The following is a 17,156-nucleotide window of genomic DNA, read 5'->3' as shown; positions in this document are numbered from 1 at the left end:
AAGAGCCTGGCCAACATGGTGAAACCCTGTCTCTACTAAAAATACAAAAATTAGCTGGGTGTGGTGGCAGGCACCTGTAATCCCAGCTACTCAGGAGACTGAGGCAGGTGAATCGCTTGAGCCTGGGAGGCGGAGGTTGCAGTGAGCCAAGATCACGCCACTGCACTCCAGCTTAGGGGACAGAGTGAGACTCCATCTTAACAAAAAAAAAAAGAAAAGAAAAGAAAGAAAAAAACTCTTTTCATGTCCTTTAACAGTAAATTCTGAATATTGTCTTGACACAAAATAGCATTTGTTTAAATACTTTAAGGAAATGACTTTATCTCATGAGGATTTATGCTTCACTGCATTACCATTGATACCTGTAGAATTATAAGCATCTCAAAAGAATGATGTGTGTTCTCCTCCATCCTTCTGCTCACTCTACCTGGCCGCATGCCATTAGGTGCTAGATAGATAACTGGTTACAGAAACTGAAATTTGTACCATTTTGATCGTAAACTACTGCAGGAAAATGAGACAACTGGATTTTTTTTTCTTTTTTTTTTTTGAGATGGAGTCTCACTCTGTCCTCCAAGCTAGAGTGCAGTGGCCCAAACTCGGCTCACTACAACCTCCGCCACCCAGGTTCAAGTGATTCTCCTACCTCAGCCTCCCAAGTAGCTGGGATTACAGATGCCCACCACCACACCTAACTAATTTTTGTATTTTTAGTAGAGACGGGGTTTTTACCATGTTGGCCAGGCTGGTCTCGAGCTCCTGACCTCAGGTGATCCACCCACCTTGGCCTCCCAAAGTGCTGGGATTATAGACATGAGCCACCACGCCCAGCCAGACAGCTGGATTTTCTATGACCTTTAACAAAGTCTACATTGTAGGCTTAATTTCTGTTTTCAAAGAAGCATGTTCATTCAAAAATTACATATTTTTTTCCTCCCACATGCAATGTACTTCATTAGGTGGGGTTGCAAGTACAAAAATGTTAATTATAATCCCTGCCTAAAATCCTTTAGCATTTATTTTACAAATTGATTTCTTGTTTCTTCATCAACATTAGATCTTATTCACATTTTTGAGACTGCAAAATATATGGGTAAAAATTTTATGTATCCCTCTAATATGCCATTAGTATGAGTTATATTATTTATGCTGCACTAAAAACTACATTATTCTACATAAAACAAGCTAATACTTTCAAAGATATGGCATGGGAATTGATTGATTATGGTTGTTAATACATTGGTAAGCATTTCAACTTTTAAATTTTATGCACTAATAAACCTAATATGGTATTCAGCTACAAATGGTTAACTTTAGCTTCCCATACTGCAAAGCAACATTAGAATTCAAAGTGAAATTAGAGATCTTGCCACATCCTTATAGTTACCATCCTACTATGTAGAGCAGTTCAACAGGCTTTTCACATAATGCACGGGTAGCTCTGGTTTCTAAGAAAATTGATGATTAAGTAGGCAAAATTATTGCCCAAGAATGGGTTCCAACATACACTGTGGACCCCACTGGCTTAAAAACAAAAAAATATGGTTTCAGCAAAACACTGGAATTCTGGATTGATTCCCTAGAGTATAGGATTTTCAGCCAGAGAATCTGGATTCAAACACTGCTTCTGACACTTGCTAGTTGTGTGACCTTGGACAAGTCACTTCATTTCTCTGAGTCTCCCTCTCCTCTTTTGAAAAGTGACTCCATACAACTTATACAGTTGTTGAGATAATTAAATGGTCTATATAAACCATTCATTGTGGTGCCTGACCCAGAATCAGTCCTCCTTAAATGGTGTCTGCTGTGGTGGTGGTTGTTATTACTACTACTGTTGGTTGTGATGATGATGATGATGATGAGGACATACAATGAGCTCAAGCTCATTAAATAGAAAGTTGAAGACTGAAAAGAGGAGATGATAGACCCTGGAAGGGAGAGCAACAGATTGGGAATCCAGGTCCTTACATGGGAGAAGTGCTTCTAGTGATTCTGGCCTGTTTTGTTTCCAAGTCAGACCATGCCCTTCCTCTTCCCACCCAAAAGGGCATAACCAGGCAGGGTGAGTTGAAGCTTCATTCCTCACTTAACATAGCAAAGTTCTCGAGGAGTGAAATACAAAACTCATGAATAACAGAAGCACAAGTCTTTCTATTGCAATAACATATTTTTTCCTGACATGATTTAACTGCCCTGAATATATGCACACAAGTTTCTAAGTGGGTTTATGTGTTTTCACTCTCAGTTGTTCCCACATTTTTGAGGTGAGCAGATTGAATATTATTATAATATAATAACACAATTTATACATTATATTATTATAACCAAAATTATACAAAAAAGAAAAAGTCGAACACTTCATTTGATGTTATTTCTAACACATCTCCTGTTGCCAATGAATAATTATTACTGAAATGGCACAAGAAGGCATGTTGCATCTGGCTTGCTATTTTTCAGTAAGAAAGTGGTGAAATTAGAAGAGTAAATGCAGACCAAAGCAATCTACAGACAGACTCATTAGTAAGTAAATGATATATATATTTTTAAAACGCAGTGAATACTAAGGTAGTATTTCTGCAAGACTCAGACCCCATCAGGGTTATCTCCCTCATGACCTCTTTGTTATTAACAGTAGAAGAACCTTCTTCTTTTTGGCCAGAGAAGAGCTAACGACCTCACTCCAAACTTGTGTCTGAGAGCATTCCAACCTTGGCCACTGAGGGTTGGGAAGTAGTTATGGATGTACTGCTACTGGAGAGGACAAGAAAGCTGTTTAAAGCCAACTCACTAAGGTTGTGTAACACACTACGTGGGTTTCCCTCCATACAACAAATCTCAAATGAAGAGACCTGAGCAAAAGTGACTTCTTACTATGGGTGGCTGTCTCTGCCATTATGCAGTTAAAAATAATGATTGCATCCATTTGTTGAATATACTTTATGATCCTGGTATTCTGTTGAGTTCTTTACATTTAATTCACACAAGACTGAATGATAATCATTGATCAAACCTAAGTGATATAGCCCACTACACACCTAGGCTGTATGATATATAGCCTATCGCTCCTAGGCTACAAACCTGTACACCATGTTACTGTACTGAAAACACTGCAGGCAATTCTAACACAGTAATATGTGTTTGTGTATTTAAATATATTTAAACTTAGAAAAGGTACAATAGAGTATTACAATCTTATGGGACCATCATCATGTATGCATTCTATTATTGGCTTTATAATGATTTTGCCTTCTATTTTTAAGTTATACCTCCTAGAACTATGTATTCAGGCATTTCCATGTAGCTTCAAATAATAGTGTGGTTTCTTTGAAATAGAACCTTAAACACATTGTTTTGGTACATTTTAGAAAAACTCTATTTTTCATAAGTTATACAGAAGCAATTCCAAACAGGTTTCATAGGCCACGCCAGATAATGTGCACTGTGATAGGTGAAGTTTCTATCATGGCTGGTATCTGATAACTGTCTTTAGGAATAAGCCAAAGGAAAAGATTTCAGCTAAACCACCAGGCAAATGTTACTCTTGTTATTGTCACTAACAAAAATAATGGTTGCCATGTACTCAAGGCTAACTAAAAGGCACTCTCAGCGGTTTTGGGAGACAGGTAAAGTGCTATATTTTAGAAACTGAAATGGTAAACTATTAAGTAACTTTTTTAAGGTAACACAGCTTAGTAGGTTGCAGAGCAGACTCAAAACATGGTCTCTATACTATATAGTCCAATGTTTCTGAGACTGTCAATTCCACTTTGATGTAACTGAAAAAATACACATTCAGGCTATACAAAATATGAAAATAAAAGTTACCAATATTAAGACACCAAGTTTTTTATACACAGATAAGAAAAATGTTAAAATTTTTATAATACTATTATTTCCTTCCCACACAGTCTGAAGACTCAAAAATACTTGCAGAAGTCTTATATCTGTGTATTTTTGGATTAGAACATATATCAAATGGCATCCCAAATTTCTCTGGGAAACTTATTGAAAATTAAAGTGTTTGAGATTAAACCTCAACCTTTCCCCCAATTTTTCATCTCTGATATTGCTAATATTATCTGCTGCCAAGATTACCATCTACTGATCTATGCTCTTCTCTTTACTTAAAACAAACAGAACAATGTTGGGGTGCTTTTATATCATTTAAAATTTGTATGCTATTATCTCTATATCCTTTGGCATGTTTAGTCATAATTATAATGCTGCTGATGATAAATAAGAATACTTGCCATTTTAAAGTACTTCATAGATTACAAAATGTTTTTATACATTATTTTTGGTGATCAACACTTACAGCCATGATAGGTAAATATTAACCTTATTTTAAGGACGAGGGAAGCCTGGTTATAGTGGGCAAATACTCTACTCAAGCTCATACATCTAGGCAAGGTGGCATGGGAACTAGAGTTCAGATTTTCTGATGCTAAATCATAAAAGCCTGAAGGGCTTACCTTTGTCTTTTTCCTCCTTTCTCCTCCTGCTCATTCCCTCATCTCCATCTTCTCCCTTTCCCTCTCCTTTTCTCCCTTGTTCCCCCACCCCTTTCCTTTTCTCTCTCACCTTTTCTCTATCCATCTACTTTGAGTACCTTTTCCACTGACCTCACCTGCCTCAGGTGCTCTATGTGTCTTTACAGTGACTCCCTCCAATCATAAAGCTCTCTTTGCCAATTCACAAATAGATGTTGATGCAGCCTCAAGGAATAGTTCAAGAACTAGGTTGTAAACTCTTGAACTGAGGAAATTTGTTTTGTTCACTGCTAAATTTTCAGGACTTAGCACAAAGGAGATATTCAACAAGTATTTATTATCTGGATGAATGAGTGAATGAATGGCATAATAAAAACTATGATACACATGAACACTTGCTAACTTTTAATTTACTTCGCATATTTTTGCAAAAAGTTGTCCACTCTCCACTGTTCATTTGGTAACTGGTTTTGAGGGTGGTGATATGGTTGGGATTTCCTGGTTGTGTTGATGTCAATGTTACTAATCATCACTCCCAAAAGGTACAAAGCACTTTAGACATAGTAGGCACCCACAAGGCTTCAGATTTACTTGCATATGGTATATATTTTATTCTCCATCCTTTCTTAATACACCACATATTAAATCATTATACTTATAAATAGAGACCTTTAAAAAACTATTCAATTACCCGGAACTCTTTCAATTTAGATTTGATAGTATTTTGCTGTTCAACATATTTTGAAGCATTTCAGATTTCTCTTCGTAAGAAGTAAAAATCCTGTGTCTTCTCTATAAACACAAAATAATGCATGCAGCCTTGCACTGTTAGTAAACTGTTACACTGAAATGGTGCATAGTTTGTAGTTATTGTTAACAAATGTTCTTGTTAACAATCAAGCCATTGTAATTCTCCAAATGACTTTCAACCATAAAGGCAATTGTTTTTTAAAGACTAAGAAAAAGAGTCAGAGGAAAAATAAATGCCCTTTTGGATTTTTTGTTTTGTTTTGTTTTGTTTTGTTTGAGACGGAGTTTCATTCTTGTTGCCTAGGCTGGAGTGCAATGGCACGATCTCAGCTCACTGCAAACTCCGCCTCCCAGGTTCAAGCGATTCTCCTGCCTCAGCCTCCTGAGTAGCTGGGATTATAGGCACGCACCACCAAACCTGGCTGATTTTGATTTTGTATTTTTAGTAGAGATGGGCTTTCACCATGTTGGTCAGACTGGTCTCGAACTCCTGACCTCAGGTGATCCACCTGCCTTGGCCTCTGAAAGTTCTGGGATTACAGGCATGAGCCACCGCGCTGGCCCCCTTTAAGTTTTATAGAAAGTGTTATGTATGCCGATAGATAAAATACATAGCTCATGTGAACTTTTATTATCTTACCTACATACTATGATATCCATACATGGTATCTGTTTTACTTTTCAGGACATTTCTAAATTTCTACTTGTATTTAGTAGAATAGACTGTTTGGCTTTTTGTTTTTTTTTTCTTTTTCATTCCTAGACTCAGCTAGATCAACAATTACTTCTGTTACAAAAGAAAATAATTGATTTTAATAGGAAGTTTAAATGGCTTCATGGTTCAGTAGCTAGAAAAGGCAGTGTTCTAAGCACTGATAATGCGTGGTTTCTTCTTTACTGGCCATGGAGGCACTGACTCTGGGGTTTTTATTTATAATATCTGTTGAACATGTATTTACTGAAAGGGAATGATGCTTGAATACTGTCAGGAGCAAAAATAATGTAAAGAAAGGATATGCCTCCTTACAGAAGGGGCAAGTCTGAATGTGAGAAATACACATCATGATATCAGGTAAACATGGGCTCAAATCCTAACTCTGTCATTAACTTACTGCTAACACATAGTAATGATAATGATATTTTGGTCAATGAGGGACTGCATATACAACAGTAGTCCCATAAGATCATACCACTATGTTTTTACTGTACCATTTCTGTTTTCACTTAAAAATACTTACCACCATTGTGTTCCAATTGCCTACGATATTCAGTACAGTAATATCCTGGTACAAGTTTGTAGCCTAGGAGCAATAACCCATACCACAGCGCCTAGGTGTGTAGTAAACTATGTCATCTAGGTTCGTGTAGGTACACTCTATGATGTTCACACAACAACAAAATCACCTAACACATTTCTTTTGTTTGTTTGTTTGCTTTTGTTTTTTGGAGTCTCACTCTATTCCCCAGACCGGAGTGTAGTTGCACGATCTCAGCTCACTGTAATCTCTGCCTCCTGTGTTCAAATGATTCTCCTGCCTCAGCTTCCCAAGTAGCTGGGATTACCAGTGTCTGCCACCACACTCGGCTAATTTTTGTATTTTTAGTAGAGACGGGGTTTTGCCATGTTGGCCAGGCTGGTCTCAAACTCCTGACCTCAGGTGATCTGCCTGCCTCAGCCTCCCAAAGTGCTGGGATTACAGGCGTGAGCCACCACGCCTGGCCCGTCTAACACATTTCTAAGAAAAGTATCCTTGTCATTAAGTGATTCATGACTGTATATACTAGCTAACATCAAATAAGGTTGTAGCTGCAAAATCCAAATGAGATCCCTTATTAAAAGCCCCAGGATTACTCTATAATCATAATAGCAATCATTTAAATACAATAAGATCTACTTAGTACATACCAGGCACTCAGCTAGCCACTTTACAAAAGATGTGTCATTTAATCCTCAGAATTATACTGTGAATCAGATGGTATCATCACCATTTTACAACTAAGTTCAGTGAGATCCAGGGTAACTGATGATATTATCTTTAACCATACAGCCAGGAAGTGGCAGACCATACATGGAATTTGGGTCTGTCTGGCTTACCTCCGTCTGAACCACATGATTCATCTTTCTACCTCAATATACTCTCCCTGGGGGTATAATGATTTAATAGTACACCATCAGAAACATCCAATGAGAATCCAAGAAATCTGAAATTTAATGTGCTAAAAAGAGTATGTTTATATTGTTCACAAATGAGACTCCAGATGCCAACAACACAGTATTTTAAGTATAAAAGTGACTATGATCTAAGCTACATCTTATTACAAAATCTGTTAATCAAAATAGAATTTTTCCATCTTTGGAAAACATATATCTCATTTATATTTGAAGGTATGCCAGAAAGAATGGGTGACTTCTCCAGTGACCTACTTACCGAGCCAATCAACTAAATAGTCTTGGCTTAAAACTTCAGTATCCCAAAGTGGCTTTTTTAAATACAAAAAACTGACTGTTGGTGTTAAAAACAAAAATAAGAAAACAATGCAATTAGTTATTGGCAAGCAAAGTAAAAGCTGGCACAAGTAAAACTGCAAAATTAATTGGTCCTAGTTAAACAACAATTCGGTCAACAGAAAAGCCTGAATGCTCTATCTTGAGAAGTAGCCAGTCCTATGTACTTTAAGACGAATCTCTCAGGAAACCGGCTTTGGAATGTCTCCATTTTTTCAGGGACACTGTGGCCCTCTTGGTTGGCCCTTGTAAACAGAACTTACGGCCTTATCAATTATTAGCAAAACTTGGAGTTTACATTTGCTCCTAGACCCTTTCCTCCCGTAATGAAAACAAGATTAAAATGAGTGCTCAGAAGTAAACCTTTGTGTTTTTATTGTTCCAAGATAGCTGAATAGGAACAGCACCAGTCTATAGCTCCTAGCGTGAGCGACGCAGAAGACAGGTGATTTCTGCATTTCCAACTGAGGTACCGGATTCATCTCATTTGGACTTGCTGGACAGTGGGTGCAACCCACAGAGTGTGAGCAAAGTAGGACAGGGCATCGCCTCACCTGGGAAACACAAGGGGTCAGGGAATTCCCTTTCCCAGCCAAGGGAAGCTGTGACAGACGGTACCTGGAAACTCGGGATACTCTCACTCTAATACTGCACTTTTCCAATGGTCTTAGCAAACAGCACACCAGGAAACTATATCCCGTGCCTGGCTTGGTGGGTCCCACACCCACGAAGCCTTGCTCACTGCTAGCACAGCAGTCCGAGATTGAACTGCGAGGTGGCAGCAAGGCTAGGGGAGGGGAGTCCACCACTGCTGAGGCTTCACTAGGTAAACAAAGCAGTGCGGAAGATCGAACTGGGTGGAGCCCACCACAGCTCAAACCGGGCTGTGTGCCTCTGTAGACTCTACCTCTGGGGGCAGGGCATAGCTGAATAAAAGGCAGCAGACACTTCTGCAGACTTAAACGTCCCCATCTGACAGCTCTGAAGAGAGCAGTGGTTCTCCCAGCAGGGAGTTTGAAATCTGAGAACCGACAGACTGCCTCCTCAAGTGGGTCCCTGACCCACGAGTAGCCTAACTGGGAGACATCTCCCAGTAGGGGCCAACTGACACTGCATACAAGCAGGTGCCCCTCTGAGACCAAGCTTCCAGAGGAAGGATCAGGCAGCAACATTTGCTGTTCTGCAGCCTCCGCTGGTGATACCCAGGCAAACGGGGTCTGGAGTGGACCTCCAGCAAACTACAACAGACCTGCAGCTGAGGGTCCTGACTGTTAGAAGGAAAACTAATAAACAGAAAGGAATAGCATCAACACCAACAAAAAGGACATCCACATGAAAACGCCATCTGTAGGTCACCATCATCAAAGACCAAGGGTAAATAAAACCACAAAGATAGGAAACCAGAGCAGAAAAGCTGAAAATTCTAAAAATCAGAGTGCCTCTTCTCCTTCAAAGGATCACAGCTACTTGCCAGCAATGGAACAAAACTGGATGGAGAATGAATTTGATGAGGTGACAGAAGCAGGCTTCAGAAGACCGGTAATAACAAACTTCTCCGAGCTAAAGGGGGATGTTCGAAACCATCACAAAGAAGCTAAAAACCTTGAAAAAAGATTAGATGAATGGCTAATTAGAATAAACAGCATAGAGAGGACTTTAAATGACATGATGGAGCTGAAAACCATGGCACGAGAACTGCATGATGCATGCATAAGCTTCAGTAGCCAATTTGATTAAGTGGAAGAAAGGGTATCAGTGATTGAAGATCAAATGAATGAAATGAAATGAAACGAGAAGAGAAGCTTAGAGAAAAAAGAGTAAAAAGAAAAAACAAAGCCTCGAAGAAATATGGGACTATGTGAAAAGACCAAATCTACGTTTGATTGGTGTACATGAAAGTGATGGGGAGAATGGAACCAAGTTGGAAAACACTTTTCAGGATATTATCCAGGAGAACTTACCCTACCTAGCAAGGCAGACCAACATTCAAATTCAGGAAATACAGACAACGCCACAAAGATACTCCACAAGAAGAGCAACCCCAAGACACATAATTGTCAGATTCACCAAAGTTGAAATGAAGGAAAAATGTTAAGGGCAGCCAGAGAGAAAGGTCGGGTTACCCACAAAGGGAAGCCCATCAGACTAACAGCTGATCTCTTGGCAGAAACTCTACAAGCCAGAAGAGAATGGGGGCCAATATTCAACATTCTTAAAGAAAACAATTTTCAACCCAGAATTTCATATCCAGCCAAACTAAGCTTCATAAGTGAAGGAGAAATAATATCCTTTACAAACAAGCAAATGCTGAGAGATTTTGTCACCACCAGGCCTGCCTTACAAGCGCTCCTAAAGGAAGCACTAAATGTGGAAAGGAACAACCAGTACCAGCCACTGCTAAAACATGCCAAATTGTAAAGACCATCGACGCTAGAAAGAAACTGCATCAACTAAAGAGCAAAATAACCAGCTAAAATCATAATGATAGGATCAGACTCACACATAACAATATTAGCATTAAATGTAAATGGACTAAATGTCCCAAAGAAAAGACACAGACTGGCAAATTGGATAAAGAGTCAAGACCCATCAGTGTGCTGTATTCAGGAGACCCATCTCACGTGCAGAGACACACTATAGGCTCAAAATAAAGGGATGCAGGAAGACCGACCAACCAAATGGAAAACAAAAAAACAAAAAGCAGGGGTTGCAATCCTAGTCTCTGATAAAAAAGACTTTAAACCAACAAAGATCAAGAGACAAAGAAGGCCCTTACATAATGGTAAAGGGATCAATTCAACAAGAAGAGCTAACTATCCTGAATATATATGCACCCAATACAGGAACACCCAGATTCATAAAGCAAGTCCTTAGAGAACTACAAAGAGACTTAGACCCCCAAACAATAATAATAGGAGACTTTAACACCCCACTGTCAATATTAGACAGATCAATGAGACCAAAAGTTAACAAGGATATAAAGGAATTGAACTCAGCTCTGCACCAAGCAGACCTAACAGACATCTACAGAACTCTCCACCCCAAATCAACAGAATATACATTCTTCTCAGCACCACATCACACTTATTCCAAAATTGACCACATAGTTGGAAGTAAAGCACTCCTCAGCAAATGTAAAAGAAAAGAAATTGTAGCAAACTGTCTCTCAGCCCATAGTGCAACCAAATTAGAAGTCAGGGTTAAGAAACTCACTCAAAACCGCACAACTACATGGAAACTGAACAACCTGCTCCTGAATGACTACTGGGTAAATAACGAAATGAAGGCAGAAATAAAGCTGTTCTTTGAAACCAATGAGAAAAAAGACACAACATATCAGAATCTCTGGAAAACATTTAAAGCAGTGTGTAGAGGGAAATTTATAGCACTAAATGCCCACAAGAGAAAGCAGGAAAGATCTAAAATTGACACCCTAACATCACAATTAAAAGAACTAGAGAAGCAAGAGAAAAACATTCAAAAGCTAGCAGAAGGCAAGAAATAACTAAGATCAGAGCAGAACTGAAGGAGATAGAGACATAAAAAACCCTTCAAAAAATCAAAGAATCCAGGAGCTGGTTTTCTGAAACGATCAACAAAATTGGTAGACTGCTAGCAAGACTAATAAAGAAGAAAAGAGAGAAGAGTCAAATAGACACAATAAAAAATGATAAAGGGGATACAACCACTGATCCCACGGAAATGCAAACGACCATCAGAGAATACTATAAACACCTCTACGCAAATAAACTAGAAAATCTAGAAAAAATGGATAAATTCCTGGACACATACACCGTCACAAGACTAAACCAGGAAGAAGTTGAATCTCTGAATAGACCAATAACAGGCTCTGAAATTGAGGCAATAATTAATAGCCTACCAACCAAAAAAAGTGCAGGACAAGATGGGTTCACAACGAATTCTACCAGAGGTACAAACAGGAATTGGTACCATTCCTTCTGAAACTATTCCAATCAATAGAAAAAGAGGGAATCCTCCCTAATTCATGAGGCCAACATCATCCTGATACCAAAGTCTGGCAGAGACACAACAAAAAAAGAGAATTTTAGACCAATATCCTTGATGAACACTGATGCAAAAATCCTCAATAAAATACTGGCAAACCAAATCCAGCAGAACATCAAAAAGCTTATCCACCATGATCAAGTGGGCTTCATCCCTGGGATGCAAGGCTTGTTCAGCACATGCAAATCAATAAACGTAATCCAGCATATAAACAGAACCAAAGACAAAAACCACATGATTATCTCAATAGATGCAGAAAAGGCCTCTGACAAAATTCAACAGCCCTTCATGCTAAAAACTCTCAATAAACTAGGTATTGATGGGATGTATCTCAAAATAATAAGAGCTATTTATGACAAATCCATAGCCAATATCATACTGAATGGGCAAAGACTGGAAGCATTCCCTTTGAAAACTGGCACAAGACAGGGATGCCCTCTCTCACCACTCCTATTCAACATAGTGTTGGAAATTCTGGCCAGGGCAATCAGGCAGGAGAAAGAAATAAAAGGTATTCAATTAGGAAAAGAGGAAGTCAAATTGTCCCTGTTTGCAGATGACATGATTGTATATTTAGAGAACCCCAGCATCTCAGCCCAAAATCTCCTTAAGCTGATAAGCAACTTCAGCAGTCTCAGGACAGAAAATCAATGTGCAAAAATCACAAGCATTCCTTTACACCAAAAACAGACAAACAGAGAGCCAAATCATGAGTGATCTCCCATTCACAATTGCTACAAAGAGAATAAAATACCTAGGAATCCAACTTACAAGGGATGTGAAGGACCTCTTCAAGGAGAACTACAAACCACTGCTCAACGAAATAAAAAGAGGACACAAACAAATGGAAGAACATTCCATGCCCATGGATAGGAAGAATCAATATCATGAAAATGGCCATACTGCCCAAGGTAACTTATAGATTCAATGCCATCCCCATCAAGCTACCAATGACTTTCTTCACAGAATTGGAAAAAACTACTTTAAAGTTCATACGGAACCAAAAAAGAGCCTGCATTGCCAAGACAATCCTAAGCAAAAAGAGCAAAGCTGGAGGCATCACGATACCTGACTTCAAACTATACTACAGGGCTACAGCAACCAAAACAGCATGGTACTAGTACCAAAACAGAGATATAGACCAACGGAGCAGAACAGAGCCCTCAGAAATAATACCACACATCTACAGCCATCTGATCTTTGACAAACCTGACAAAAACAAGAAATGGGGAAACGATTCCCTATTTAATAAATGGTGCTGGGAAAACTGGCTAGCCATATGTAGAAAGCTGAAACTGGATACCTTCCTTACACCTTATACAAAATTTAATTCAAGATGGATTAAAGACTTAAATGTTAGACCTAAAACCATTAGAACCATAGAAGAAAATCTAGGCAATACCATTCAGGACATAGGCATGGGCAAGGACTTCATGTCTAAAACACCAAAAGCAATGGCAACAAAAGCCAAAATTGACAAATGGGATCTAATTAAACTAAAGAGCTTCTGTACAGCAAAAGAAACTGCCATCAGAGTGAACAGGCAACCTATAGAATGGGAGAAAATTTTTACAATCTACCCATCTGACAAATGGCTAATATCTAGAATCTACAAAGAACTTAAAGAAATTTACAAGAAAAAAATCAAACAACCCCATCAAAAAGTGGGCAAAGGATATGAACAGACACTTCTCCAAAGAAGACATTTATGTAGCCAACAGACACATGAAAAAATGCTCATCATCACTGGCCATCAGAGAAATGCAAATCAAAACCACAATGAGATACCATCTCACACCAGTTAGAATGGCGATCATTAAAAAGTCAGGAAACAATAGGTGCGGGAGAGGATGTGGAGAAATAGGAACACTTTGACACTGTTGGTGGGAGTGTAAATTAGTTCAACCATTGTGGAAGACGGTGTGGTGATTCCTCAAGGATCTAGAACTAGAAATACCATTTGACCCAGCCATCCCATTACCGGGTATATACCCAAAGGATTCTAAATCATGCCTCTATAAAGACACACACACATGTATGTTTATTGCGGCACTTTTCTCAATAGCAAAGACTTGGAGCCAACCCAAATGTCCATCAATGATAGACTTGATTAAGAAAATGAGGCACATATGCACCATGGAATACCATGCAGCCATAAAAAAGGATGAGTTCATGTCCTTTGTAGGGACATGGATGAAGCTGGAAACCATCATTCTGAGCAAACTATCACAAGGACAGAAAACCAAACACCACATGTTCTCACTCATAGGTGGGAACTGAAAAATGAGAATACTTGGACACAGGGTGGGGAACATCACACACCAGGGCCTGTCGTGGGGTGGGGGGAGTGGGGAGGGATAGCATTAGGAGGAATACCTAATGTAAATGATGAGTTAATGGGTGCAGCACACTAACATGGCACATGTATACATACATAACAAACCTGCACTTTGTGCACATGTACTCTAGAACTTAAAGTATAATAATAAAAAATAATAATAAATAAGAAAAAGTATACATTTGCCACTTTATCAGACCACAAGTTGAACTGAAAAGAACTAGGAACAGTGATAGCCTTGAAGGGCTAGCCCATTTTCCATATACTGCCTAACTCACTTTGGTTTGATATACAAATATTATATCATAAAGGTTATTTGAAAAGTTCTATACCTTAGAGATCACCAGGGTATAAATATATTTTTCCATATTGTTCTGTGAGTTTAAAAACTTTATACAAGGTATTGGTATGTATCTATTAATCTAAAATACTTAAATATTTTCATTATGGTCCTTGCAATGGATCTTCCTCTTTCCGCACCTTCCTTCCCCATTGAAGAAGACTCTGCATAAACCATTTAGATTACACCAAATAAGTATCATTTTTCATATTTCACTTCTATTTCATTAAGCAACCCATCTTCCTAGCTTCTTTACTAATTAGCCACTAAACCCCAGGCTTTTCTTTACAGTTCAGTGAAAATACGTGTAGCCTAAGATGTCCTAACTCCAAGGCAGGGGGAGGAGGAAGGGTAGAACTTAGTCAAAAAAAGAAAAGGATGCATGGAAGGATAAGAAGAAGAAACAGAAAGGCTCCTAGAGTCTGCCAAGAGCCCACGTTCTGGCTCACAGGTGGGAGCGCAACCTTGCTAGGCAAGTCCTAGCTTGCAGACAGTATAAAATAAGAGCAGACATGAAGAAAGGAATTCAGGTACCTTCCTTTAAACATATCTCTTCTGCAAATGTAGTCATCCCTGATAAAGTACAATTAGAGGTAGGTAGACGTGTCACAATGAAGTCAGATAACTTTCCTATTCACCATTTTGTCAGAGCTGATAAAATTTAGAAGTGACCAAGTTCTCTGTGTGTTCTTGCACTCACTGAAGGAACCAATAGCAGTAAAACTGTCCCTGTCTCAAAATGGTAGGAAGCAGAGATTTCATAAAAGTTTTCTGAAACTACGTGCCTGAAGGGAGGAGACAGTTGTTAAACCAGCATAGAATCATAAAACTATTTTGTACTCTTAACATGCACACTTCACTCACCCAAAATATTAGTTACGAATTATCCTAAAGAAAAAAAAAAGGGTATGAAAGCAGGTGGGCTGCCATTCTGTATAGGCAGACCACACCCCATACTCTACCTGCGCCCACCACTAGGGCTCTGGGCCCACAGGCGCGGATGCAATTCAGGAGGGAGTTGGAGCGAATGTTGGTGTTGAGAAAGGCCACCACGCAGCCCAGCTTGGCGAGGCCGAACCACACGTGAACGAAGTCCGGCTCATTGCTCATCAGCAGAGCCACCGTGTCCCCCTTTTTCAGAGAGGAATGGTTCAGGAAGACATGGGCCACTCTGCTGCTCCTTTTGTCTACATCCTGATAGGTGTAGATGTCTCCCTCATAGATGATGAAAGGTTTCCGAGGTTGTCTTTTGGCATGACTCAAGAATTTATCCAGCACAGTCACCAGCTCCCCTCTCTTTTCATACTTCTTCAGCCGAATTATAATGAGCACCACCTTCAACACGAACCAGAAGTCATCCCAAAAGTAAGGGAACAGGAGTTTCTGCAAGAAGTGCAGGACGACCATTCCAGCCCCTAGAACTGTTAGCCATGACAGAAGCATGGGGGCAACTGGGCCAGAAGACAGCTCTGATCTCAGCCCCCACCAGCGTCCTTCTCTTCCAGGCACAGCTCTCCACGGAGACCGCAGATCCTCACTACTCAGGGCTTACACCTGAAGTTCTTGTCAGCTTTTCCGGGGCGAAGCGGGATGGGGAGGAATCCTGAGAAACAGAATCGTAGGTTTGCACCGAAAAGGTCGCCCCAAGTGGTGCTGAAGATTAAGCTTGGGTCACTGGGCGGCTGGAAAGCAGGGAGCCTCCGACTCCTGCGAGAAACCAACACAGCCACCCTCAGGGGTCTTGGAATCTACAACCCCAGCGCTGCGCCCTCGCCTCCCAACCGCGACAGCGGCCCGTGCCCTGCGAGTTCCCCAGGACTTTCCAGACCTCTTCTCTGTGAGGGCTGAGTCAGTCCTCCCTGCTTCTGCGACCCTAAACAAACCTCACCACCCTCAGAAGAAGGTCCAGGGACAGAAGCTTTTCTCCTCTCAGGTAGTCTTTCCCGCGAGCTTGAGTTGGAGGCTGAATTCGAGCCGGGAAAAGCTGGGATGATGATGACTGAGAAGCGCAGCGATTTACAGTCTCTACGCACCAGAAACCGCGCAGGGGCTCAGCACCACGTCTCGGTCCGTGGCCTCAGGGCCAGCGGGTTCCAGGGTTCCTGAGCGCCGCCCCCGTCCTGCCCCGCCCAGCCCCGCCCAGTCCCTCTGACGCAACGGGTCCCGGAGAACTGCTCCTTGGTGACCCACGCGCCCGCTGGAAAGGGGTGCCCCTACCCCAGCCGCAGCTCGCACTCCGAGTGTCGTTAGGCTAGCCTAGTGTATTCTCCTCCGAAACATGGTGGGAGTGTTGCCTGCCCACCTTCGGCCTCCAGGCTCAGGGCTAACCACATCCCCTGGCGTGCCGCAGCCGGAACAGCCTGGGCCCCGCCGCCAGCTCCTCCCTGGGCGCGCGTCCGGCCACCTAGAGAAGTGTGGCGCGCCGACCTGCTCACACCCCAGGGAGGAGGCCCCGCGACTGGCGTCTCCGGCGGGGAAGAATGTGACAGTCCCGTGGGGGGAAACCCAGGGATCTGGAAGGCTTGGGGTCACAGGAGAACCAGAGTTGCTGGGATTGGGCGGCGCGGGGGCCCTGGCGAGGCTGATAAGGTATAACAGTGTCGCACAAAGGTCATCCATTGAACCAATTAATAACTAGAAAATGGAAAGAAAAGAACAAACATCAAAAAAACTGCAGGGAGAGAGAGGCAGGGAGGGAGGAAGAGA

The 17,156-nt window shown here is 40.8% G+C and overlaps 1 protein-coding gene across 3 annotated transcripts in view; it reads right to left on the bottom strand.

Annotated features, from left to right (window-relative positions):
• Positions 1–16,543, bottom strand: part of SLC27A6 (solute carrier family 27 member 6) — a 68,148-nt gene extending 51,605 nt beyond the window's left edge. The window contains exons 1-2 of one of the 3 annotated variants that reach the window (NM_014031.5): positions 16,279–16,543; positions 15,413–16,053 (exon numbers count right to left, since the gene is read on the bottom strand). In NM_014031.5, coding sequence (NP_054750.1) covers positions 15,413–15,893 — 481 coding nt within the window. In that variant the 5' untranslated portion in view covers positions 15,894–16,053; positions 16,279–16,543. Of the gene's footprint in view, positions 1–15,412 lie in introns of all 3 variants that reach the window. The other 2 variants (NM_001317984.2, NM_001017372.3) reach the window with 2 other exon arrangements.
• Between the last annotated feature and the right edge of the window lie 613 nt (positions 16,544–17,156).

This window comes from Homo sapiens, chromosome 5 (assembly GCF_000001405.40).
Source record: "Homo sapiens chromosome 5, GRCh38.p14 Primary Assembly".
NCBI classification, from domain to species: domain Eukaryota; kingdom Metazoa; phylum Chordata; class Mammalia; order Primates; family Hominidae; genus Homo; species Homo sapiens.
This window is presented reverse-complemented; position numbering and strand designations above follow the sequence as displayed.